Below are 27272 nucleotides of genomic sequence, written 5' to 3' on the forward strand. Positions count from 1 at the left end.
TGTTCCTGCTATTTTTCTTTTGATCTCTCTATGCCATGCCTCGTTCTAAAGATAATTTTGGGTGTAGAAGAAGAATTTGGGGTATAAGAAAGAAGTTCAGGCTAATATAAAATTATTACAAAGAACCAAGATGAGTTTGCCACCTTCTCAAGGATTTAAATGATAATGATAAAAAATAACATACTCCACTATCATAATGAAGATTATCTTTGCTATTTTAAAGTAATTTGTCAGGAGAGAAAAATAACCATTAAATGTACGCACCATTTTACCTTAGTTTCAAAGGCTGGAAGCCTAGAGACTGAATCACATCCACTGCTTTTTTGAGAATGCAATGGGTTGTAGGGGAGGCCTGTGGTGCTGTGGTGAAGATGTGAGGCTTTGGATGGATCCAGGCTAAAATCATAGCTGTGATTCTCACCATCTATGGAACTTAGGCAGTTACTTAATATCCCTAAGCACCATTTTTCTTAACTATAAACTAGGGATAACAACATTTTATCTCACAGGGTTATCCTTGAGGATTAAAAGACATTTATACAAAGTTTATAGAGCACTTTGCACAGTGCCTTGCCCATGATAAGCACTCAATAAATTGTGGTCTTAGAAACAAAACATCTCTACTTAATAACTGTTGTGGGTGAACACATTTTCCCAACTTCTGACATGTAAATACTTCTCATTTGACCTGAACAACTAAAACAAAAAGCAAACACCAGCACTAAAACCAAAGGGAATTCCACATTGAGAAACCAAGGTCTCCGCCTGGGCCTTGAACTGAGCAACCATCTCACAACAGGCCTGCTCTTCCCTTGACAGGGGGAAGGGACTAAAGGAGAAACAGCTGGTTTCTGGTTCTCTAGAAGACCAGGACAGATAAAGTCACCCTGAACAACAAGTCAATTGTATCTAGTTTACCATACTGAAGAAGAAATTAAAGTGCCATGTGCTTTGAAAACTGAGATTTCTAGCCAGACACAAAGGACAATCTTATTTTTAAATTTCCATCCTGAGCTTCCCATTTTTCGCCCCTGATCACATGTTATTACCTCTAACATGGTCATAATCTTAGAACTGGGCTATCAAAACTACAGGAAACTTTAAAAAAAAATAGTAACTTTAAAAAATAAGCTTAAAAAATCATTATTTGATATTTTTGAGACAGGGTCTCGCTCTGTTGCCCAAGCTGGGGTGGAGTGCAGTGGCATGATCTCAGCTCACTGTGGCCTCCACCTTCCGGGTTCAAAGGATTCTCGTGCCTCAGCCTCCCAAGTTGCTGGGATTACAGGCATATGCTACTACACCTGGCTAATTTTTGTATTTTTAGTAGAGATGGGGTTTTGCCATGTTGGCCAGGCTGGTCTCAAACTCCTGGCCTTAAGGGATCTTGAGATCTTGGGCCACCTTGGCCTCCCAAAGTGCTGGGATTACAGGCATGAGCCACCACACCCATCCAAAAATCATTATTTTAACTAATGATTTAAACATCATGGGAAACTTTTTTTAGCTGGGAATGCTGGCTGCATCTACTGATCGGTTTGGAGAAGGCACACATCCCACATAAGACTAGATGAAGTTGGGGAAAGCCCTATTCATAGCAACCATGAATGTAAAACTTCAAAGGACTGAAATTAATAGTCCTGGTAACTGAACTTATTCTTTTGCAGTTTAAATCCATCCCCTTATGAAACAAAGGGTATCACTTACTCTGCCAGACCAAGGATAGTTTCCCTTTTATACTGGTCATCTGCAGTAAACCGCTGCACGTCCACACCCTTCCGAAGGCCCTGAAGGATCTGCGCCTGAGTGAAATCCAGGAGACGTTCATTGTAGCAGTGTAACTGCTTGGTCAGTGAAATAAGGTCTTCAGGCCAGGCTTCGTGCTCATGTCGAGTCACATGCCTGGTGACCATCTTGATTAGTTCTTTGGGATCAGCCTATGAAAGACATGGAAAAGAAGACATTTTACCAACATCATACAAACACGAGCAAGTGAGTAACAAATGGAAGAAGACCATGTCTGCAAGGAACTGTTTGGCCCTGTACACTATTGCCATTTCATAAGGCTCACAACGGCCCTGAAAAGTCAGTTGCAGAAGTGGCACTTTACCCAGTTAGCAGACCACAAAGACAGGACACAGAACTAGGCCCAAAAACAGCTTTTTGAACTCTTGCTCTGTTATTCTTCAACCTCAAAACCTCCGAACACTTAAAAAACAATATATTCTTGCTCTTTCAACTATTATAAACCTCCATCAGATTTGTCTGCCAACCATCTGATCACTCACAGTAACTCACTCTAGAAGTAATTTTCATCGCCATTGCCTCTGGATAAATTTTCTGTGGACTACAGTAAGTGTTCTCAATAACAAAGGTGCAGTTCAATAACCTCACTATAAATGGCTAGACCCCTGAGGAGAAAAGTATTTTCTCCAGGGATAAGTTCGGGAAAAAACCTCTACCCTGTTCCTGAAATCATAAATAGTGCAAGTTGCATAAAAAAAGGCATCCAACCAATTTTTACTCCTCTAATTTGGGGCTCAATGGGATATTATTCTACGATTCTTAGCAGCTTCTCTAATAACAAGAAACTCATTCAAATAGAACACAACCTAGAATCCAACAGCTGACAGGAAAGGAGAGTAAGTGATTAACTAGCCACATTTATTTATATTAAAGTTGGTCTGGGTGTTAATGAAGTTACAGAGCTGAGCCATGATTTTGGAATTACTAATAGGGAGTTTAATACTTGAACAGCATTAATTCAATCCATCCCAATTCCTGGGAAGACATGCTACATATTTAATATAAGCAAATTAGAGAAAAAAAAAAGAATCTACCTTTGGTTCTCAGAAACACACAGCTAATTATAGTAAGCTGTCAGCATTTCTAATGTGTAAGCCATTATTCTGATCTGCACAGGAGATTTGTCAATGTCGAGTCTAGATTACCAAACCCAGCCTGACATTCTCTCTCTTGATCCTATTAAGGAACAATCTGGGAGTGCTGATAAAAAACAGTTAAAGGTATCTTCTTAGATTCTGGCATGTGGATTTGAGTAAAAGTCAATCTTACTATATTTATTTTTTTCCCTACCTCTATGCATACACTGAGTCCTACTCTCAAAACCACAAATATGTGTCTCAAGTTAAAAGACCTGGGTTTGAATACGAACTATTCCATAGTAAGCTACAAGGCCATCTTTCATTCCTTCAATAAATTTCTTGTGCACCTGTTATGTAACAAGTCATTCACTAAGAGGACACGGCCCTTCCCTACAGGAATACAGTCTATTAGGACAGACAGTCATGCAAACAACTGTAAAATGGTGTGACACAAGTAAGCCTAGGGTGCTCTGGGAATACACAGGAGTGGGCAGGTGTTATCGAAGTCTTCTTCAAAGAGTTAATGTCTAGGTTAAATACTCAGGTACCATACCAGTAATAACGAGGGCAGCAAAAAACAGGGAGACAAATTCCAGTAAAAGGTAGAAAATGTGCTAACACCTATATGGCTAAGGCTTGAGGGAAAAATGAAGTGTATAAGCCAAATCTAACTGCAATTAGAGAGTGATTTGGGAACCAGCTGCATATAAACAGTATTCCTGGCGACAGATTTAGGCAAAGGGGATGCCGTGCCCCAGCTCTTAGTGCATCTATGGCTGACATTTAACTAAATCCCTTTTCTATCTGTTGGCCAAACCCCTCAGGGCACCATCCTGAACCTCCAGCACGTGCACAGCCACCTCTGCAGTTCCCTGACCCAGGGATGCTGCTCATGGGCCAGCTGGCCCATCTTCACCTGCTCAGCACTCTGGTGTGCACTGCCGTGGCCTGCTGCTCTTATGCCTCATCTGATTTGCACTTTTCTTCCCAGTTGTAAAGACAGCAAGACCAAATATCCAATGATCATGGTTTTAGGGTGGCAGGAGAGCTCTTTTCAGTTGTTCCTTGAAGGAGTTCCTAGTGCCCCAGATTTACACCCCACAACCAAATCTATGTTCACCAAAACAATGAAGAAGGCTTTTCTTCATGTATATTCTCACCTGGTGCTTTCAGACTGAAGTTTTCAGCCTGAACTTGCTGAATATACCTTGAAGGAAAGGCTATAACCATCTAACCTATCTCTGCGTATAACTCCATGTCCCTCTCTTTACCAGGCTATTGTTTCTATCCCCTACTCATAGAACCAGCTACCTTAGTTCTCCCAATGGTTTCTCATAGTTTTCTTCCACATTCATTTTTGACTTTTTATTATCTCCAAGATTTAATACATGTACTGGCAGAGTGGCCTACACTTCTCATTAGCCTCAATGGTAGAACCCCTGCTGATTTCTATTCTTTTTGTATTCTAATATAGTCTATGAAACAAATCCCAAGGCTAGGTGAAGAGAAAAGCTCCAAAATATAAGTGTATAGCAAGAATGAGCATGGTTATTGCTACAAACATTTCCACAGGCTCTTATGTAATCTGCAGAAAGTTTTGAGTCTCCACATACAATCTTCGCATGTGACAAAAAGACAGTAGTGTCTCCTTTTGCCAATGAATAAAATGACACAGCACAGTGAAATAAGCACAGACACACAGAGCTTACTAGCTGAATGACCTTGTGCAAATTACTTAACTATGAACTTCATTGTCTCATCTACAAAATAGCAGTGATAATATATAGCGTTCATGGTTGTGAGAAGCCTAAGAGACAATATATATAAAATATACAAACCAAGACCTGGTAGGAAGCAGGTGTTCCAAAAATAAAAGGAATTATGGAATTGGCTAAAAGCCATATACAAATCATAGTTTAAGTGTGCCTCTACTGTATAATTCATTTTGCATTGCCTTCTCTTAAATTAAAACTTCTGGAGGGCAGAGATCATGTGTATATCATAATTTGCAGAACACAGCACAGTCTCTTGCACAAATCAGGTACATGGTCAAAGGGGGAGCAGATTGGACTGGCTTTGAAGTCTGTAGTACTGGTTGATATTGCAGCTTCCCCACTCAGTAGAGATGCAGTCTGAAACAAGATACCTCCTATCTATTTCCTCACTTATAAAAGAATGTCAATAGCACATCCTCCTCACAGTTTGTTATGAGGTACCAAAAAAAAAAAAAGGTATTTTAAAGCTCTCCTTTCTCCATTATTCTATGAAAACAAATTGGACACAGAGCTTACTCTAAAAGAATTAAAAACTACTGATTGACAAGGATGTACACATAAACAATTCACAGAAGGCATCCAAATATAAGCAGACTTACACAATCATAAGCCAAGAGTTTTGGGAACTCCATGGAAGGAGCAGTTGATTCCCTTTCTTGATTCCACTGGGTCTCAGTTTCTTCAGATATAAAGCAAAGGAGCATCACCAGGTGATCACCTTTCTAAGACTGAAATCCTACAGATGTATAAGAATTTTATCATTAAGAGGCTGGGCATGGTGGCTCACACCTGTAAACCCAACACTTTGGGAGGCAGAGGCAGGTGGACCCCTTGAGGTCAGGAGTTGAAGACCAACCTGGCCAACATGGAGAAACCCCGTTTCTACTAAAAGTACCAAAAAAATTAGCCGGGTGTGGTGGCACTCACCTGTAGTCCCAGCGTAGGAGAATCACTTTAACCTAGGAGGTGGAGGTTGCAGTGAGCTGAGATTGTGCTACTGCACTCCAGCCTGGGTGACAGCATGAGACTCTGTCTCAAAAAAAACAAAACAAAACAAAAAAAAAAACTTTGCAAATCCCTCCAGGTGTAGAAAGAAGGATGTTCTACGAGGCTGGAGGCTCAATTGAGGCCAGAAGTTTAAGACCAGCCTGGGCAACATAGTGAGACCCTGTCTCCACAAAAAAATTAAGAAAATGAAACTTAGCCTGCCATAATGGTGCATGCCTGTAGTCCTACCTACTAGGGAGGCTGAAGCACAAGGATCACTTGAGCTCAGGAGTTCAAGCTGCAGTGAGCTATGATCACACCACTGTTCTCCAGCCTGTGGGACAGAATGAGATCCTGATCTCAAAAATAAATAAATAAATAAACAAACAAATAAATTAGAATTTCAGGCCACAAATTATAGCCATCAGATTTCTACACAGTTTATACAACTTTAACCTCTTCTCACTTACTACATACAAATTATCTATTCCTCTGTGAATCATTTTTATTTCATATTCTTTGTAGGAGAAACTTATTCACTTTTCCCAACAGATATTTAAGAATAAAAACCTAGTATTTCAGTCTTCAGGATGGAACACGCCTACTGCTAAAACATGTACTGAGTCTCATTTTGCATTAACAACTCTGTAGGACAGGCATCTCTTACTGTCATCTCTGTTTTACGGATGAATAAAGAATGAACTTAGATCTAAGGCCTTTAAGCTGGTAAGTGACAAAGCAGTGCTATGACTCCCATGCATAATGCTTCCTAAGAACCATCCTTTTATATTCGGTATGTAGGGAGGGATATCTCTTAAAAATACAAGGCTCTTGATTGGACCAATGTAGACACAGCTCCCACTACATGTAAGACTTGCTGTTATAACTTGGCTTTGTGTCCCCACCCAAATCTCATCTCGAATTGTAATCCCCATGTGCTGAAAAAGGCCCTGGTGGGAGGTAACTGAATCATGGGGGCAGACTTCCCCCCTTGCTGTTCTCGTGATGGAGTTCTCATGACATCTGGTTGTTTAAAAGTGTGTGGCACTTCCCACCTTGCTCTCTTTCTCCTGCTCCACCATGGTAAGATGTGCTGGCTTCCCCATCGCCTTCTGCCATGATTGCCAAGTTTTCTGAGGCCTCCCAGCCATGCTTCCTGTTAAGCCTGTGGAGCTATGAGTCAATTAAACCTCTTTTCTTCATAAATTACCCAGTCTCAGTTAGTTCTTTATAGCAGTGTGCGAGTGAACTAATACACTTGCCATTAGAGTCCTTTTACAAATGACAGATTTTCAATGATAGATTTAATGCTGTCATTCCGTATTGTTCCAGGTAGACATTTTTCCATATATTCCTCCTCTCATGCCATATATATGTGCTTGTGTCTGTGTGTGTGTGTCTGTGTGTGTGTGTAAATATAAACACCCATTAGGTTTTCAACTGGATATTCTATTTGAGCCGCTTGCTTTTTCTTCTCTAATGATAACGGTGTTTTAGAATCACAAGCAACAATACCATTTTCTGTTAAACTCCCTGAAATAAATATACTTCCTTTTAAAATTCTGTCTTAATAAAGTGGTGAGGCTGGGCACGGATGCTTGTGCCTGTATGTAATCCCAGCACTTTGGGAGGCCAAGGTGGGAGGACTGCTTGAGCCCAGGGGTTTGGGACCAGCCTGAGTGACATAGTGAGACCCCATCTCTACGAGAAATAAGTAAGAAGGTGGTGGTTAGGGAAATTCTATTAATTTTTTGATAACAGGTTGTAAGTATATACAAGTTTATAGCTCATCAAATATTTGTGTATAAAAAAATTTTCAGTACTTCAATTTATTGTATAAAACATGATACTGAGAAGAACTTACAAAAATGAGAGGAGACAATTTCTCACAAAAGCTTCTAAGAAAAAATTACTTACAGGGGAAAAACACAGGAGTTGGCATCAATGACCTGGATTACTAGTTTTTCCCTCTGAGCTGTAAATTTTCCATTTCTAAAACTGAAGCAATTTCTTCTGAATCCCCATAAAGACTAAATGAAACTGGATGAATGAGCATTTGTAAGTTCTAGCTCCCTATGCAAATTATTTTCTGATCATTGCCACTGGTACTTTCTATCTCTTCCTCAAGAAATTTTACTGGTTATGATTACTTCCGATATTCAAATTAAATTTGAGTAAAAATTCTTCCCCTGAGCTTATCACTACTTCTCCCAAAATATTCCAAAGCATCTCCTACTCATTCCAACACTGCATTTCATACGTTCATTTATTCACTGCACAAGTACACAACAATTAAAGTTTCGAAAGCATTTTCACGTGATTTTCATTTGACCCTCCTATCAAGCTGGGGATGTGCACGGGAAACACTGTTTCTTGTTTTAGAGACACGCCCATTTGTAGTTGAAGCATCCGGAGCTGTAGTCTTGCAGCTGGAGAGTGACTCAAGCCACCTGGCTTCCCACCCGCTTGCCCCACACTGCTGAGCAAGTCTCCATGAGTTGCTCTACATCCAGCTTCACACCCAGAATCACTCGGAAGTCTTGGTGTTCAGAGTACACTCAGACTTCCCTCCCTCTTTCCAGCATCTGACTTCAGTGACATGACGCATGGGTATGAAAGCTTTTAGCCTCTAGGAAGCTTATGAAGAGCTCTCTGGGCAGCTTCAAAATCTTCCATATTCAGTATTCAAAGTGATATGGCAAAATAGCACAGGCTGCAAAAACTAACAGCATAAAAAGCCATTCATAATTTAAAAAGGAAATTGTGAAGAGTTAAATTACTTGATTTTCCCCTCAAAACTTGGCAATGCAGTTCTTCAGGGAGGTGAATAAAGTATGATTTCTTTAAAGAATATGGTCAAATCCCCGTAAAAACAAAATGTGCATAAATATTCATGACAACAAAATGCTCAATGACTTAATCTACTGCTTACTACTAGAGGTAATAAATCTATTCTGGTTTAATAGTCTCTACATTTCTTGGTAATATTATTTCGAAAGTTTTAAACAGGTGGTGTGTTTCCCCTTTAGGGTTGTTATTTTGCTTGAGATAATTTTCTACTTAGTATTTTCAATTAGTAGCTTAAAAAAACGCATTTTAGAAATAGTCTACCATAAAATTCTGAATGTCATCCCCCGCTGAGTTTGCTTCCCTAGTCTATAAAACTAAAGGACGTTTCCATTTTTAACCGATTTTACCTTCTGAACACTTTTTTAAAAGAATGCTGCAAAGATCACACTTCAAAATACATTTACAACAATTACAAAGGTAAGATATGAGGGAAAAAAAATCAAGATACAGAACAATGTGCACAGCCTACTTACATCTGTCTAAAAAATAGTTATATAAGTATGTACAGCCATCAACTATCTCTGGATGGATACAAATGGGAAACACTGACTTATTATTATATACTATTTTCAACACTTGAGTTTTGGGGTCACATGTGTATTTTTTAAAAACGTAAAAATGAGTTAATTAGAACAAATACTAGAAGAGAAAATTCTCTCAGACTGACCATTTGCTAACCATCAATGCATAAAATTAAAAGGAAAAATGCAGGCGAGGGAGGCAGCTCCATGGATCATCTGAGAGAGCTGCTGGGCTCCAGGGGGCCTCTGCTGGCTCAGGACGATGCTGCCCTTCAAGATGCACAGGCTGTGCATGAGAAATAAGCCCACAAATTCTATCAATACTTTTATCCAAGGCTAGTAATCTACCTAAGTTAGCATTCCTGCAGCGCATATCCAGGAGGTGGAAAGAGAAAATGTGAAAAGACTGTGGAATTAGAAACAAGTTGAACTGACAACTGAGTGAAAGCTAAGCTTCACTGGGTGTTATTATGTGCAGGCAACAAATTGAAACCACTTTGATTTCAATTTCCAAGATGATTCATCTGGAGTTTGTCATATTTAATTCCAAACTCAGCAGTGCTGTTTTATGCAGAGGAAGATGCTGAAAACACTCAAATAATGAGCCATTAGGCAGTCAATGAAAAACTCCTATATACTTAAAACATCCAACATCCAACTATCATGTCTACCAGTGTTTCCTTCAAATCCATGAGGGTCAGAACTCACAACTGCAAACCTGAAGCCTCAAGCTGTCCTGACATGCAGCACTTGACATGACTCCTGAACTCATCTACATACCATCAACAGTCACTGAACAACTACAGTGGGCTAGGTCTGGTGATACAGGAAGCAAGAGAATTCCTGTCTTCAAATAAGGTTGCCACACTGAGCGGAGAGAGATGTGTATCGACTGTCATCCTAAAATAACTGCTTCCATGGGTGCACACACAAGGAACAGACAGAGATGGAAGGAGGCCAAGTAAGTTTCAGAGGAGGCGCCTCTGAGCTCAGACTTGCCTGCCCACAGCGGGGAGAAGGAAGAAGTATTTCAGATGGGGAACTGGATCTGCATGTGCACAGAGGCACAACAAAGGATGTTAAATTCAGAGAAATCTAAGTTCTGAGCAGCCAGAACATAAGCTTCAAAAGAAGCAGTGTCAGGAAGCACGGCTGGAGGGGTAAGGAAGAGCCAGCCAGTTCACTGAGGGTCTTATCTGTCATATGCAGGATGTTACCTGGTAGACATGGAGTGGCACATGAAAATATCCTGCTGGGAATTACCCGTTAAGTTTGCATGCCACCAAGATCACTCATGTCTGAAAAAGACTGACACTGCTTCTCTGGAAACAAAGCTTGAGCGGTCGCTGTCCAAGTAAAAAGCAGGTAAAGCCTGGAATCAGGGGCTTTACATGACAGGATGTTACTTTTTACCAGAGTAACCTTGAGGAAGTAACCACACTTCTGAGTTGTATCTTCTATAAAGAAGATTCCTTTTCTGAGAAATGAGGTTGCTCAAAGGATCAAACAGCAGAATGAACGTGAAAGGTACTTTAAGACAGCTGTTTAGAAAAATCCCACACCGTGTTCTGCTCTGCTCTCACACCACAACAATCACCAACACAGAAGATGTCTGTGACCAAAAATGGGGGAAGAGTTTCTCCCCACCAAGTGAGCAATCAGTTTGGGAGCAGACAGGAACTGGTGTCCTCCAATTCAATTCCTGGAGACAGCGCCAGATCTGATGTCCAAGAACAGAACACATCCAGCTCAGAAGAAAGATGAAAGCCAGAAGGCTCAGCAAGGCAGCTTATCCCACCTTCTTCCAGTAAGATGAAAAGTATTTACGTTCAAAACAATAGAATACATGCGCTCTGACAGAGGTAAGTACAGGGGAGTACAAAAGCACATGGGGGAGGACCCAATCCAGCTTGGAGGACTGGAGAAAGGTTCCTGAGTGAGGTAACACCTGAACCAAGTAGCTAAGCAAAGAAATGGTAGCAAAAAGCATTAAAGGCAGAGTTTTTGGTATGGCTGCAGCATGGAAGGATGAAGTTGGAAAAACAGAGGCCAATCATGGGATGTGCAGAGCATGCTGGGGCAACGGGAGATCCTGAAGGATTTTGGGTGGAGAGGAGGATGTCTACACCTCCATTTTAGAATGACTACTCTGGCAGTTGTTTGGGGGAAAATACAGAAGTAAATAAATGAAGACAAGGTGATGTTCACGAGGCTGTCGCAGGACGTTTAGGTGAAGAACTATGAAAGACTGAATTAAGGTGAGAACACAGGGTGGAGAGATGGAAACAAATGGAGAGGTGGTAACTCTCACCCACTCACTGGTGATGTATCTGTCTGTCTGGAAGACATTCAAAAAGGCTTTGCATCTTGATAGGAAAAACATCCTGGATTCTCTCTAACTCTTCACTTCTACTTTTAGACCTACAATCGGATGCTTTCCAGAAGTTGCCAAGAAGTCCCTGGAGAACTAGCTGACTCATGCCCATGTGCTATCTCAGGCTACCAGAGAGCACCTCTTTCCATCTGGAGCAGCTGAAAGGTTAGAAATCCGGTGTTCAGGCATCATCACTGGGCCCCATGTACTGTACTGGCTTCTGTTCCCACAGGATTAATGCTGCTTCCTCAAGCAATGACTCTGAACAGCGGCTACCCTATGTTGTTGCACCCAGAAAGGGAATGGTGGTGGGTGGCTGGAACTATGCCACAGGGTGGGTGGGTAGTGTGACAACCAGGAATTAGAGAACAAGAGATAGCATGAGGGCAGGAGAGCTCCAAGGAACACTTTCAAAGGAAGAGACAATTTGATAGATGTGATGGTTAATATTAAGTATCAACTTGATTGGATTGAGGAATGCAAAGTATTGTTCCTGGGTGTGTCTGTGAGGGTGTTGCCAAAGAAGGTTAACATTTGAGTCAGTGGACTGGGAGAGGCAGACCCACCCTCAATGTGGGTGAGCACTGTCTAATCAGCTGCCAGTGTGCCTAGAATAAAGCAGGCAGAAGAAGGTGGGAGAAGCCAACTGGCCAAGTCTTCCAGCCTTCATCTTTCTCCCATGCTGGATGCTTCCTGCCCTTGAACATCAGACTCCAAGTTCTTCAGCTTTTGGACTCTTGGGCTTACACCAGTGGTTTGTTAGTGGCTCTTGGGCTTTCAGCTGCAGACTGGAGACTGCACTGTCGGCTTCCCTTCTTTTGAGGTTTTGGGACTTGGACTGGCTTCCTTGCTCCTCAGCTTGCAGATTGCCTATTGTGGGAATTCATCATTGTGGGTAGTGTGAGTCAATACTGCTTAATAAACTCTCCTTCATATATACATATATCCTATTCCTTCTGCCGCTCTAGAAAACCCTGACTAATACAATAGGAAAACAGTGATAGAAATAAGAACGACAGTTAATGGGCAGAGATGGTGGGTTGATAGAAGCTGGATGGAAGAAACAGAAATCGGGGTAAGAGGGAGAAAGGAATAAAAACCCAGATGTATTCTTTATACCACAATGTCAAGCTCTATGTCCTTTAGAGTAGGTACTCTAACGCTGAATTGATAAAAGGGTACACAAAATATAAGACCTGGAAATAAAACACACTTTCCACCAAGTGGAAAGAACTGTAGGAACACAGAAGCAGAAACCAAGATAAACACACCTACTTCGAACCCTTATCCTTCAGTATTTTGCTTTATTTCTTGGCAAGCTTTAGCTGTGGACACCCCAAATAGGGTTTCCTGCAGAGTGACTGTGGTGTGTGAATTTGGAAAGAGTGGTGGCCAGATACAAAAGGTGGGATGGAATGTAATGGTTTTCTCCTGACTTATCTGAGTCACAAACAGTACATGCATTAGGACTTTTCATTTTGGTACAAAGTAATTTACTATCAGGGAAAACAAGAAAGATATAAGTTGTACTACAATTTTCCTCCAAGAGAACTACTTTAATTAAAGAAATGAAACTGAAGATTATAGGCCAAAATGTGGCTGTGGAGCCAGCTTTTCAGCTTTCTTAAAAGCTGTAACTTGTTGTCTGTCCAACATCCATCTTCAGTTCTCTACTTTGCTGCCAGTCTAATCCACATTTACTTAACTGTCTCATATGGATTTAGAGCAAGCAGCAAGGTCTTGAGGTCCAGCATCATGCCATAGTCATCTTCCAACACCAAGGCTCAGAAGCAGGGTGTGGCACATGAGGGATGCTTAACGACTGACAGCTGACTGATGGAGTGGCTGATATGGTTAGGTTTGTGTCCCCACCCAAACCTCATCTTGAATTATAATCCCTATAATCCCCATGTGTCAAGGGAAAGACCAGATGAAGATAACTGAATCATGAGGGTGGTTTCCCCCATGCCGTTCTGGTGGTAATGAGTGAGTTCTCACAACATCTGATAGTTTTATAAAGGGGCTTTTCCTGCTTTGCTCAGCACTTCTTCCTGCTGCCTTGGGAAGAAAGTGCCTTTCTTCCCCTTTGCCTTCTGTCATGATTGAAAGTTTCCTGAGGCCTCCCCAGCCATGCTGAACTGTGAGTCAATTAAAACTCTTTCAAGTCTCAGGTAGTTCTTTACAGCAGTATAAAAACAGACTAAAACAGTAAATTAATACTGCAGAAAGTGGGGTACTGCTATAAAGATACCCGAAAATGTGAAAGCAACTTTGGAACTAGGCCATGGGCAGAGGCTGGAACAGTTTGGAGGGCTCAGAAGAAGACAGAAAGATGTGGAAGGGTTTAGAAGTTCCTAGAGACTTGTTGAATGACTTTGACCAAAATGCTGATAGTGATACGGACAATGAAGTCCAGGTTGAGGTAGTCTCAGACGGAGATGAGGAACTTGTTGGGGACAAAGACGACTCTTGCTATTCTTTAGCAAAGAGACTGCTGGCATTTTGCCCCTGCCCTAGAGACCTGTAGAACTTTGCTTGAGAGAGATGATTTAGGGTTTCTGGTGGGAGAAATTTCTAAAAAGCAAATCATTCAAAAGGTGACTTGGATGCTCTTAAAAGCAATCAGTTTTATGCATTCACAAAAAGAGATGGTTTGGAATTGGAACTCATGTTTAAAAGGGAAGCAGAGCACAGTTAGTTCTAGGAAGTAACTAACTTGCTTTTGATTTTACAGGCTCATAGGCAGGAGGGACTTGCCTTGTCTCAGATAAGCCTTTGGACTTGGACTTTTGGGTTAGTGCTAGAACAAATTAAGATTCTGGGGAACTGTTGGGAAAGCATGACTGGTTTTGAAATGTGAAAGGGATATGAGATTTGGGAGAGGCCAGAGGCAGAATGATATGATTACGCTCTGTGTCCCCACTCAAATCTCATCTTGAATTATAACCCCCATAATCCCCAAGTGTCAAGGGAGAGGCCAGGTGGAGGTAACTGGATCATGGGGGTGGTTTCCCCCAAGCTGTTCTCATGAGATCTGATGGTTTTATAAGGGGCTCTTCCCGCTTTGCTTGGCATTTCTCTTTCCTGCCATTTTGTGAAGAAAGTGCCTTGGTTCCTGCTCACCTTCCTCCATGATTGTAAGTTTTGTGAGGCCTCCCCAGCCATGCTCCATGCTGAACTGTGAGTCAATTAAATCTCTTTCTTTATAAATTACTCAGTCTCGAGCAGTTTTTTTTTTTTTTTTTTTTTAGATGGAATTTCACTCTTGTTGCCCAGGCGGAGTGCAACGGCGCGATCTCAGCTCACTGCAACCTCCGCCTCCCAGATTCAAGCGATTCGCCTGCCTCAGCCTCCCCAGTAGTTGGGATTACAGGTGCCCGCCACCATGCCCAGCTAATTTTTATATTTTTAGTAGAGGCGGGGTTTCACCATGTTGGCTGGTCTCGAACTCCTGACCTCAAGTGATCCACCTGCCTCGGTCTCCCAAAGTGTTGTGATTACAGGCATGAGCCACTGCACCTGGCCTGGGAAGTTCTTTATGGCAGTATGAAAATGGACAAATATAGTGGCCTTCCAATCTTATGTATTCAGGAAAGGTACAGCATGGGGTAGGCAAACAGTAGGACCTTAATAAAGATGATATAGTTGGAATGGAAGAGTGAGATCTAATTTCAGCACCAGCAACCCAGTTCAATGACATCCACTTAGAGACCTCAGTAAAATATATTTTGAGAACTCAACTGACCTTTAGGGGGAAAAAATTCAAGTTTACAATAAGGTACTATGCATTTGGTCAAAGTAAAGCTTCACTGTGTTTCAATGTACTTAGAGTTTTAGAGGAAATTATTTGGCACTTGTGTACACACATAGCACTAATGAAAAGGTAAGAGTAAAATACATTTGCCAAATTTCCACTTAATCACTTCAGTCCCTTAATTTATAATACATATTAATGCATGTTTCTTATTTCACATTAAGCCATACCTGAGATATAAAAAAACAAAATTACTAGAGTATAATAAAGTTATATAAAATAAGTATCTGTATAAAGCAGCAGTAGCTACCAAAGAACAAAAAACACCATTCCCAAAACAAAGTAACACCTTAGGCAAACTGGTTAAAAGAATAAAGCATTCCTGTTTCTTGTCCAAATGCTGACATGAGAATAAAATATGCCCAAAACCAATATACACCCAATAGTGATGGTGTCCTGGGAGAGTCATGTGTTATGGATGGTCTTTCCACGTGTCTTCTTGTAAATAAACACTGATGAATGAAAGCCTATCTACCACCACAAATGGAAGGTTTTCACATCATCCTAGTTCTTAGATATGATTTGGAAGGTTGAGGCAGCTAGAACTTTGACAGACACATGAAATTATTTCCTTACATAAAATATAAGACCTGGAAATAAAATATGCTTTCTACCATGTGGAAGAACTATAAGAACATAGAAGAAATCAAGATAAATGCATATTTACTTTTAACCCTTATCTTTCAGTATTCTGCTTTATTTCTTTGCCAGTTTTAATTGTGGAAATCTTTTTTTTTTTTTTTTGCACTTCATATTAGGATGAACTTTATTATTACATTGTTGTACAATTCATTGGTAAACTTAAAAAAATACAAATACATGATTTGACTGTTGTCCCAGAAAAGAATTTTGTCACATTGCCAGCTGTTTCCTCAGCATCTCCTGCTCCTCTCAGCAATTCTGTATGTAACTGCAATAGTTTGTGTGACTTGAGAAAGATGTGCCAAGGGCGTCCTCACAGTGAGAAGGGACCAGGCAGAAATCCTGGGGCCCTCAGCCTCCTTCTGCCTCCCCTCCCGGGGGATGTGATGACAGGACCCCGAAGCTATGGCTGTGACAGGTGGGGATCTAAAGGGGACAGTCCCATGAAAGACACATGGGCACACCAGCTCACTGGGAGCTTTTGCTTCCCAAACAAGATGTGGGCAGCATGACTCCAGCCTCCGGAACCCAACAATGTATCTTTAATTGTGGAAATCTAAAACGGGCTTTCCTATAGAGTGACTGCATTATCTGAGTTTGGAAAGAGTGATGGCGAGATATGAAAGGTGGGATAGAATTGAACAATTTTCTCCTAACTTAACCCAGTCACAGACAGTACATGCTTTGGGACTTTTCATTTTGGTATAAAGTAATTTACTCAGGGAAAACAGGAAAAATTTAAGTTGTATTAGAATTTGTTTGGGGTTGGGAAAGGAAGAATCCTGCCTCAATAAAATCTGGACCTTGGATTTATGTACACAGTGGATTTTAAAGTCTAATCAATTTAATTATCTACTCTTAAAATGATCCAATACAAAAATCAGATAATTTCACAATGCCAATAATTAAAACTGGTCTGTCTATACAAGTACTTGGAAGGATTTTTCAGCGGCATCTGTAATACTCTTGTGTCCACAAAAGAAGGCACATGTAACTTGAGGCCATGTTTACCTGCTTTCACTTGGAAATTAACAATAAAGTTACATAAAAGCTGTCTGAGGTTTTTGGCAAGTATGAATAATATGTTTCAACATTCTGTCCGTACAACTGACTACTCTCATACCTCTGGCTTAAAAAAAAAAATAAAAGTGCAGTATTGCTCAAAGAATTATGTTGCCTACTTTCCTAAGTTAGGCAAAGTCATCTTCCTTTTAGAAAGTAAGTTAAAAAAACAATTCTCCATTTTGCCTTTCCTACTACTTTAGCCATTCCTAAGAACTTAGTAAAATTAAGTAAATGAGTAAATTAAGTAAAAGTTAGAGGGAGGAAACAGTATTCACAATAAATATTAAACTCTACTTACTGATACCTGGAGAAGCAACTTTGTCGAATACAGGAAAGCCAAGAGCTGCCTGCCACTTGGAATACATTCTGGATACATATGTAATCAGTTCCTCCAAAAATTAAACACGTGTTTTGAGTATTTTAGAAAAGGCTTAACTCTGCTCAATAATAAGCTGGAAATCATGAAGACTCACCCTGTAAAGAGGATGGCACTTGTCCCTGAAACATGGGGCCAATCGGGCATAGATCTGGAGGCTATAGTAATACGCTGCCAGCTGGAGAGATAATGCAGAGGGGGACTGCTTTTCAAAGCACCGGTTAGCATCTAACACCTAGGAGGGAACATGTTAGAATTAACTCAGCTGAAAGGAAATTATGAAGATCATTATAAACCATTATATTTCTAGTCATTCCTGCAGATTTTTTGTACAAAGTTCCCATTACATCAACTCAAGCTCAAGATCAACTTAATAATGACTATATTAAAAATCACAAGGCACTATAAAACAAATCCTATGCAGTAAAAGTAGATGTAAAGATCGACATTTAAGCTAACTGTAGAATTGACTCTCTAGATACTGACCAGGATCCTTTCAGCACCTAAGAAATAAGAGGAGGAAACCCTTTATTTCCTTCTCCTGCCTAATTGCCCTGGCCAGAACTTCCAACACTATGTTGAATAGGAGTGGTGAGAGAGGGCATCCCTGTCTTGCACCAGTTTTCAAAGGGAATGCTTCCAGTTTTTGCCCATTCAGTGTGATATTGGCTGTGGGTTTGTCATAGATAGCTCTTATTATTTTGAGATACGTCTCATCAATACCTAATTTATTGAGAGTTTTTAGCATGAAGGGTTGTTGAATTTTGTCAAAGATAGCATTGGGAGATATACCTAATGCTAGATGACGAGTTAGTGGGTGCAGCGCACCAGCATGGCACATGTATACATATGTAACTAACCTGCACATTGTGCACATGTACCCTAAAACTTAAAGTATAATAATAAATACATAAATAAATAAATAAATAAATAAAAGAAAAAAAAGAAACAGGAGGAAATGGCATGCAATAAACAATTTTACCGATGAAAATTCACAGCATACATTTTCCATTTAGTCATTTTAAATTCTTCATTGGTAAGGGCAAACTTACTTGTGGTAAGGCAAGAAGGTAAGCAAGAGCCAAGGTCATGTCATTTGGCAAGGCTTCACTTGCTAGTTGCAAGAGAACTGAATGCAGAAAAAGAAACATTATTTTACTGAGGTTGCATATGATATTCATAGTTATTAAATGCCATGTTTTCAGCCCCATAAGATTTCAACAAATAATTAGTGGCAGAGACCTTTTAGGAAAGGCTGTTCAGCACCATCTAAAAACAGATCATATGGAACTGTGTTAAATAGTAACCTTGCCTTAATTCAGAAAAAGTATACTATTGGTTACTTACACATGAGGAAATTCTGTCAGGGCAGCTGCAAAGGTTAAGTGCAAAGACATGAGAGAGGCTGGTTTCCTAGAGCTGGGTATTTTGGTTTTAAAGATGCAGACCATGCTGCAAAATTGTGTATCAATGTTAGCTAATATGGAGGGTGATAATATGAGTACTAAAGATCAGAGCAATAAAATAGCTTTAGGAGTGCAAATTTAGAGTAAATCTTTTGATTACTACAATGATGATAATATGATTTTGTTCCTTCCAATAACACCCCTCCTCATCACGCTCCACAAAAAGAAAATCAGTCTTTCATTTTGCTTGTATGTCTTAAAATATCCCAACCATTAAAAACTTGTCTTTTTCACATAAATTTTTACACAAACCACAACTTGCCAATGTCATAGCTTTAACATAAGAGTATGCATTGTCAATACGGTCTGTGTTTGTACACAGCTTGTTTCAATAAGGATGTATCCTATTCATTTAGCATCTCAGTAGCAAATACTAAGTAGTCATATGTAATCACAATATGAATCCTTTATTTTTAAAAAACACAGATGCTCATGATCGGCACTAATGAAGGGGATAGTATACGAATAATTCAACGGAAATGATATTTGACTTTGGAAATGCACCACATGATTTTTCCAGAAGATTTACCCTCCCAATTATGTCTTACTTAGACTGACATTTAAGTTGTTTGTATAATCTCTGTTTAGCTGATAGTCTAGGCACTGGGGATGGTGGGAGGGTGAGAAGGAAACTACAAATGGCTCAAGTGTCAGAGGCTGACCTAGAACTCTAAATTTCCTGTGGATGATTCACAGAGAAAACCTACTGTGTCTTCCCCACTGTGTATCTACAAAGGGAACATCAGTTATCCAAATATTTATTTCCTACATGTTATCCGAACCTTAGGAACCAAATGGACCACCAGTCAGCCTCAGCTCCTGCAAGGAATCATACAGTTTTAGAGACATTTTCTAATCAAAAGCTATTTATTTCAAGGTCTACTTCCAAATTTATTCCTTCACTCAACATCAACAAGAACCTTCTTTGAACCAGACATTGCCTTATGAATTAGAATCCTTTCAAGAATAAAAAGACTCTAAACAAATAATGTAAAATGTAATTCAAAGGGCCCAAATCAAATTTTGTACAAGCTATTACAAGATCAAAGAAGAGGTAGCTGGGCATGGGGGTTCATGCCCGTAATCTCAACACTTGTCTACCCTGCCTCGCCTATTACTTCCCACGAAACCTGGGCCCTCACCCATGCCTTCTCCTGGCTCCTTCTGCCTCTAAACCACCAGGATGCTTCCCCACCTGGGTGTGTCCTGCCTTCCATTTTTAGGCATCTGTGAATATAAACTTCTTCCTTCGTGACAATCGTTTCCATGTCTGTGTGTCTTACCAATACCCAGATAAAACCAAAATCCCAGGCATGTTTTAGAACAACAACTACAACAAAATCTATACATATATAATGAATCTCTTGCCTACAAAATCCAACAGAATGATACAGCAGGAAGGAAACCATTGTCAGAACCAGAAAGTCCTGGGATCAAAGCTCAGGTCCCCAACTGATTGACTACATAATTTTGAGTTCCAGAATTCAGAATGTTTTGGACTTTAGGAGGTTGTGCTATATACATATCATGTATTACATAACACCCTAAGTATGGTGTGGGAACACCCAATAATCAAAGACATTAATATATCTGCTGCAAAACATCTGAATACTCATATTAAGTGAGATAAGCAGACTATAAAGTAGCCTCATGTCAGTTTAGTTCAGGTTTTGATGCCAAACAAATTATAAAAATCTTTCTGGTTTTCAAAGCATTTTGCATTTGGGGTCTGAAGCAGTAAATAAGGACTAAATGAAGTAAAGTATGCAAAGTGCAGAGCATCACTCTAGCACACAGAAAGTACCCAGTAGGTTCCCTCCATCCCTCTATAAACCACAGGCTTGAGTAAGCAAATTCTTTTCTTCAGTTACAACATGTTTTCGTTTCCCACTAAAAATGATTGATAAAAGGTTCTTCCAATAACAACCACAGTGCAACAGAGACAATTATTTCCATTTTAGATAAATCATAATTATTAATGAATTAACAATTGCATTTAAGCATAAAGACTAATTTCACCAAGAAGCAAGAACAGACTTAAATAGTCACACTTGATGAGCTGACAAACCTCTGTTATCTTATTTCCTGTGGCTTAGCTGCTTCTCAACGAGCACTCAGCAATCATTTGAATTAGTTCCCCCTCACAACCTCTCTACGGAAGAAGTTAGATGTTTTCCTCAACTTACAAGAGAGGATTCAGAGTCACAGTAACTTTTTTATTTGCCTAGTGCCAACACACAAACAAATCATCTCGGTGTTAGAAAAGAATTCTCCCCTTGATAACTCTCCACTCTGACAACTTCCACAGTCCCCTTTCTTTTCACTGCTAACCTTACAAATGAGTGGTCTGCCCCACTGCACCCATTACCTTGACACTCCCTCTTTCCTCAAGTCCCTCCATCCCTGGGTCCCAAGTAATATGACCTCCAAAGGTCACCAAACCCAAGGTCTTTTCTCTCTTCTTTTTCTCTTAAATCTCACTGTAGCACTAGGCACTGCCAGATAGGCCTGCCTTTGGCTTCAAGGACACTGAGTTCTCCTGCATCTGTTCCTCAGATGATCCTCCTCTGTGTGCGTCACCAGATCTTCGTCCTTGATTCTTCAATGTGAGTATTCAGTTAGGTCAGTTCTTCACTATCTCTTAATCCCACCTTACATCCTCACCTAGAGAATTCAACTACATTCTTTTTTTTTCTTTACTTTTTAAAGAGATGGGGTCTCAGTCTATTGCCCAGGCTGTAGTAGAATGGGACAGTCTTGGCTCACTGTAGCCTCAAAATCTGGGCTCAAGTGAACCTCCTGCCTAAGCCTCCCATGTAGCTAGAATGACAGGCGTGTGCCACCACACCAGACTATTGCTTTAAAATTTTTTTATAGAGACGGAGTATTTTCATGGTGCCCAAGCTGGTCTTGAACTGATGGCCTCAAGTGATCCTCCTGCCTCGAATTCCCAAAGTGCTGGTATTACAGGCATGAGCTACCATGCCCAGTCTCAATTCTATCCTTAAATTCAGCTGGTACCCTGGTCTATTTTCCCACTATTTAGGTTTGAACCATCTCATAAGACTGGCCTTACCAACTCCTTGTTGGACACTGCCACTCAAATGCTACCTCAAATTAATCATTCTTTACCCAATAACTTTCATATTTCTAAAATAGTACCTTATTTTCCCAATAAACTAAACTTAACACCACAGAGTCATCTTGGACTTCATCCTCTCCTCTGCTGCCAGCACTTGGTTCCTCGTCAAATCCAACTGAATAATTTCCAAAGAACTCTTTCACACATACTTTCTATTTTCACTGCCACAAACTCTAGGCTTTAATTGTTCAAAAATTAGACCATTTCAATAGCCCCCCAATGCTGCTCTACCTGATGCCTTCAGTCTTTCTCCTTCCAGCACTTTCTTAAAATAGCAGTTTCATATTAATTTTACTCAAGCACTCAGTAATTGTGTCATTCTCTAGCTCAGAAAAAGAATCTTCATTAGTTTCCCATTCCCTAAAAAACGAAAGTTAACATTTCCTATGGAGCGTTTAAAGTCTCCATAAATATGGGCCAACTTTAATTTGTGGTTTTAATTTGCCATTAAACCTACCCTGTATGTCAACCAAATCAGTCTGCTATCCAAACTCTCTGCCTGTGCTCATGCCATTGCTTTGTATAACAAAAATAATAAAATTAATCTAAAACACAAATACATATAATTTTAAAAATATATGCTCTGAGGAGCCAAACATGAAATAGGTGTTTTATATCACTTAGCTCTATGTGTCTCAAAAATCCTGCAAGAAGATAGTATTATCTTGTTTTTACACAGGCTTGGAAGCTTATGTAAATCTGCCAAACTCAGAAAGGCAGTTCATCTGTAAAGACAGGAAACAGAAGACCCAAAATAAAATCGATGTCTTTCTTGATCAGTACCTATCAGGCGATTGACAATGTTATGCTATGACAAACAATTAATATATGCCATTTTAAGAATGTGAATGAAGATATTCTTAGGATAAATTCCTAGAAGTGGAGCTACTGGGTCAAACAACACATGCAACTGCAATTTTCATTGCTACTGCCATGTGGTTTTTAAATTCTCACTTTGAGCATCTCCTCCAGAAATGCTGTTGAGCTTGTGCAGTTCACCCACCTGAACATCCATGAGGTCTAATTCCCTAGGGACTTCTTGACATCTGTTTCAACCACCCAAGCCAGCTGGAGAATGTGCAAAATTATTTTGACCAGTTAAAGACTTCATTCATGAGTTGACTCCTCAGAATTAATCCTAAGCAAAAGGCTCTCTGGCTTTCTATTACTCTTTCTAGGAAACTATGACTCAGACATTAACCACACGTCACCTGGTGAACTCCAGTGAAATCCAGAATAGTAATTCTATTTAAATTCTTCAGTGATTGGGTTCTATTATCCAGACAGCCCTCCTACAGATTAAAACTGTAAACTCTAGATAAAATATAAAAAACAAGTATTAAAAGGCCGGGCATGGTGGCTCATGCCTGTAATCCCAGCACTTTGGGAGGCCGAGGCAGGTGGATCACTTGAAGCTAGGAGTTTGAGACCAGCCTGGTCAAGATGGTGAAACCCCATCTCTACTAAAAATACAAAAAAACTATCCAGACATGATGGCATGCACCGGTAGTCCCAGCTACTCAGGAGGCTGACGCATGAGAATTGCTTGAACCTGGGAGGCAGAGACTGCAGTGCGCCAAGACAAGATCACACCGCTGCACTCCAGCCTGGGCAACAGAGAGAGACTCCATCACAAAACAAACAAATAACAACAACAACAAAAAACAAGTATTAAAAGCCACTGGATAGTTACCTAAAGCCAATAAAAACTGGAAGATGGCTGCCATTTGAAAGAATGAATGGTATTGGTGAGTTTCCCATCTTTACAGCTTCAATCCTGAGGGCAAGCTCCTGCCCGTGCCATGCTGGGCAGGTAAAACTCAGATAGAAAACCCACAGTCTTGAAAAACCACAGCCCAAAAAATCCACAACAGCTGAAAGTAAAAGAATTCTGGCGGTCCCTTATAAAACTAAACAAACCCATAATCTTTGACCCAGCAATACCATTAAAATTTACCTAAGAGAAATGAAAACACATGTCCACCAAAATACTTGTATGAGAGTTCACAGCAGCTTTTTAAAACAATAACAACCATAAGCTGAAAGACCCCAGGTATCCTTTAATAGGAGCGTGGATGTACAGTTTTATATGCCTACAATGAAATACTACTCAATAATTTAAAACAAAAACAAAAACCTACGGATGGATACAACATAGATGAATCTCAAAAACTTTCACTTTGTTATACAAAATATATGATTGCATTTAATGAATTCTAGAACAATCAAAACTAATCTACAGTGGGGAAAAATCAGAGCATGGGGTGCCCTGTCGGAAGTGTGGGTTGGGCGTGTGCTGGGAAGAGGCTAAGACTTTCTAGGGTGGCAATAAGGTCTGCATCTTGACAGGAGTGAGGGTTACACAGGTGCTGCACTTGTCACAATCTGTACAATCATACAACTAAGATTTTTGTAATTCACTGTAAATTTTAAAACACACAAAAGTAAAAAATAGTTAAAGATATGCAGTGTAGTGTCAAGAGGTGAAGTTTACTGATATCTATGATTTACTTTGAAATGCATCAGAAAAGAAGTTGGGTTTGGTTGATGAATAGAGGGGTGGAAAAATACAGGTACAGTAAATGTGGCAATATTAACTGGAGGGTACACAGGAGTGTACGGGAGTGAACGGAGAATGAGCAGGATTGAACAGGAGTTCACTGCAAAATTATTTCAACTTTACTGTGAATTTTAAATTTTCTCAATAAAAATGCTGGGGAAGAAAAATGAAAGAAATCCTCCCTGAAAACTGCGTCAAATGCTTAAGCTCCCTGTCAGTTACTTATTCCCCAAAGGGGGTTTCCTAGAAGACACTTCTGGACAAGTTATATATGCCTGGTCTCCAGCACTGCACTCAGCCAGCTGTTTCTGGCCACACTAAACCCATGGCCTCCCAGCTGCTTCAAGACTGGAAAAATCCCAGGCATCAAGTATACCACTCTCCACAGGATTTGAGATGGAAAGGAAAGGAATCTCTCTTCTCAAATCCCTAACACAATTGTTGTTGAAGTTATCTCATGACTTTTTTTCTCCCACACAATAATCCCAGGCATTAATCTCTATAATGTGCCTAGCCCAGGGCTCTCCTAACTAACATGAATTGTAGGGAACTGATGGGAACAGTGGAGAACATGAGTCTCCACTCTACCTCTGGGCATCAAAACTGTCTCAGCAGCCCTCACCCAGACTCAGAGATCCTAATAAAGTAGAAATCAAAACCCACACTTGGAAGTTTCTTAGTCTTGGAATCCACAAACCATATGAAGCAATATTTGACAAAATATTCAGAAAAGATGGTAAGTAAGTTTCACTGGGATGCACAACATGTAATACTGGCTAGAGACTGAATTACATGGACGTTGCCATTAAACATAAAAAATAAATAAATAAATAAAACCTGCTCTACATTTAGCAGTGTGCACGAATTTAATTTGTAATGCTAGTTCTCAAACCTTGAATATAAAGCATTGTCTAAACAAGTTATATGGCCAAAATCAGAGGAAATCTATGCTTAACTCTCCCCCCGTTCCAAGACAGCCAAATAGGAACAGCTCCGCTCTGCAGCTCGCAGCGTGATCGATGCAGAACACAGGTGATTTCTGCATTTCCAACTGAGGTACCTGGTTCATCTCACTGGGACTGGTTGGACAGTGGGTGCAGCCCACAGAGGGCGAGATGAAGTAGGGCGGGGTGTTGCCTCACACAGGAAGTGCAAGGGGTTGGGGGATTTCCCTTTCCTAGCCAAGGGAAGCCATGACACACTGTACCTGAAAAAAATGGGACACTCCCGCCCAAAATACTGTGCTTTTCTCAAGGTCTTAGCAACCGGCAGACAAGGAGATTCTCTCACCTGCCTGGCTCGGCGGGTCCCATGCCCATGGAGCCTTGCTCACTGCTAGCGCAGCAGTCTGAGCTAGAACTGTGAGGCAGCAGCCTGGCTGGGGGAGGGGTGTCGGCCATTGCTGAGGCTTGAGTAGGTAAATAAAGTGGCCAGGAAGCGCGAAGTGGGAGGAGCCCACCGCAGCTCAGCAAGGACTACTGCCTCTACAGACTCCACATCCGTGGGCAGGGCACAGCTGAACAAAAGGCAGCAGACAACTTCTACAGACTTCAACATCCCTGTCTGACAGCTCTGAAGAGAGCAGTGGTTCTCCCAGCATAGCGTTTGAGCTCTGAGAAAGGACAGACTGCCTCCTCAAGTGGGTCCCTGACCCCGTGTAGCCTAACTGGGAGACGCTTCCCAGTAGGGGCCAACAGACACTTCATACAGGGGGTGCCACTCTGGGATGAAGCTTCTAGAGGAAGGATCAGGCAGTAATATTCGCTGTGCTGCAATATTTGCTGTTCTGCAGCCTCCATTGGTGATGAACAGGCAAACAGCGTCTGGAGTGGACCTCCAGCAAACTCCAACGGACCTACAGCTGAGGAACCTGACTCTTAGAAGGAAAACTAACAAACAGAAAGGAATCGCATCAACATCAACAAAAAGGACATCCACACCAAAATCCCATCTGTAGGTCACCAACATCAATGACCAAAGGTAGATAAAACCACAAAGATGGGGAGAAACCAGAGCAGAAAAGCTGAAAATTCTAAAAACCAGAGCACCTCTTTTCCTCCAATGGATCACAGCTCCTCACCAGCAATGGAACAAAGATGGATGGAGAATGATTTTGACAAGTTAACAGAAGTAAGCTTCAGAAGGTCGGTAATAACAAACTTCTCCGAGCTAAAGGAGCATGTTCTAATGCATTGCAAGGAAGCTAAAAATCTTGAAAAAGGGTTAGACGAATGTCTAACTAGAATAAACAGTGTAGAGAAGACCTTAAATGACCAGATGGAGCTGAAAACCATGGCACGAGAACTTCATGATGCATGCACAAGCTTCAGTAGCCAATTTGGTCAAGTGGAAGAGTATCAGTGATTGAAGATCAAATTAATGAAATAAAGCAAGAAGACAAGGTTAGAGAAAAAAAGAGTAAAAAGAAACAAACAAAGCCTCCAAGAAATATGGGACTATGTGAAAAGACCAAATCTACGTTTGATTGGTGTACCTGAAAGTGACGGGGAGAATGGAAACAAGTTGGAAAACACACTTCAGGATATGATCCAGGAGAACTTCCCCAACCTAGCAAGACAGGCTAACATTCAAATTCAGGAAATACAGAAAACACCACAAAGAGATTCCTCGAGAAGAGCAACCCCAAGACACATAATTGTCAGATTCACCAAGGTTGAAATAAAGGAAAAAATGTTAAGGGCAGCCAGCACAAAAGGTTGGGTTGCCCACAAAGGGAAGCCCATCAGACTAACAGCAGATCTCTTGGAAGAAACCCTACAAACCAGAAGAGAGTGGGGGCCAATATTCAACATTC

General features: G+C 40.6%; 1 protein-coding gene across 11 annotated transcripts in view; it reads right to left on the reverse strand.

The window, feature by feature from the left end:
* The window catches only part of NBAS (NBAS subunit of NRZ tethering complex), a 782426-nt gene that overhangs the window by 511921 nt on the left and 243233 nt on the right, over positions 1-27272 (reverse strand). For all 11 annotated transcript variants that reach the window (XR_007076390.1, NR_052013.3, XM_017004317.2 and 8 more), the window contains 3 exons: positions 18342-18418; positions 17387-17524; positions 1708-1937 (listed from right to left, as the gene is read on the reverse strand). Coding sequence is in view for 9 of the 11 variants with exons in the window: in XM_017004317.2 (XP_016859806.1) it covers positions 1708-1937; positions 17387-17524; positions 18342-18418 (445 nt within the window). In the remaining 2 variants the exon portion in view is untranslated. The remainder of the gene's footprint in view (positions 1-1707; positions 1938-17386; positions 17525-18341; positions 18419-27272) is intronic.

This window comes from Homo sapiens, chromosome 2, assembly GCF_000001405.40.
Source record: "Homo sapiens chromosome 2, GRCh38.p14 Primary Assembly".
NCBI lineage: Eukaryota > Metazoa > Chordata > Mammalia > Primates > Hominidae > Homo > Homo sapiens.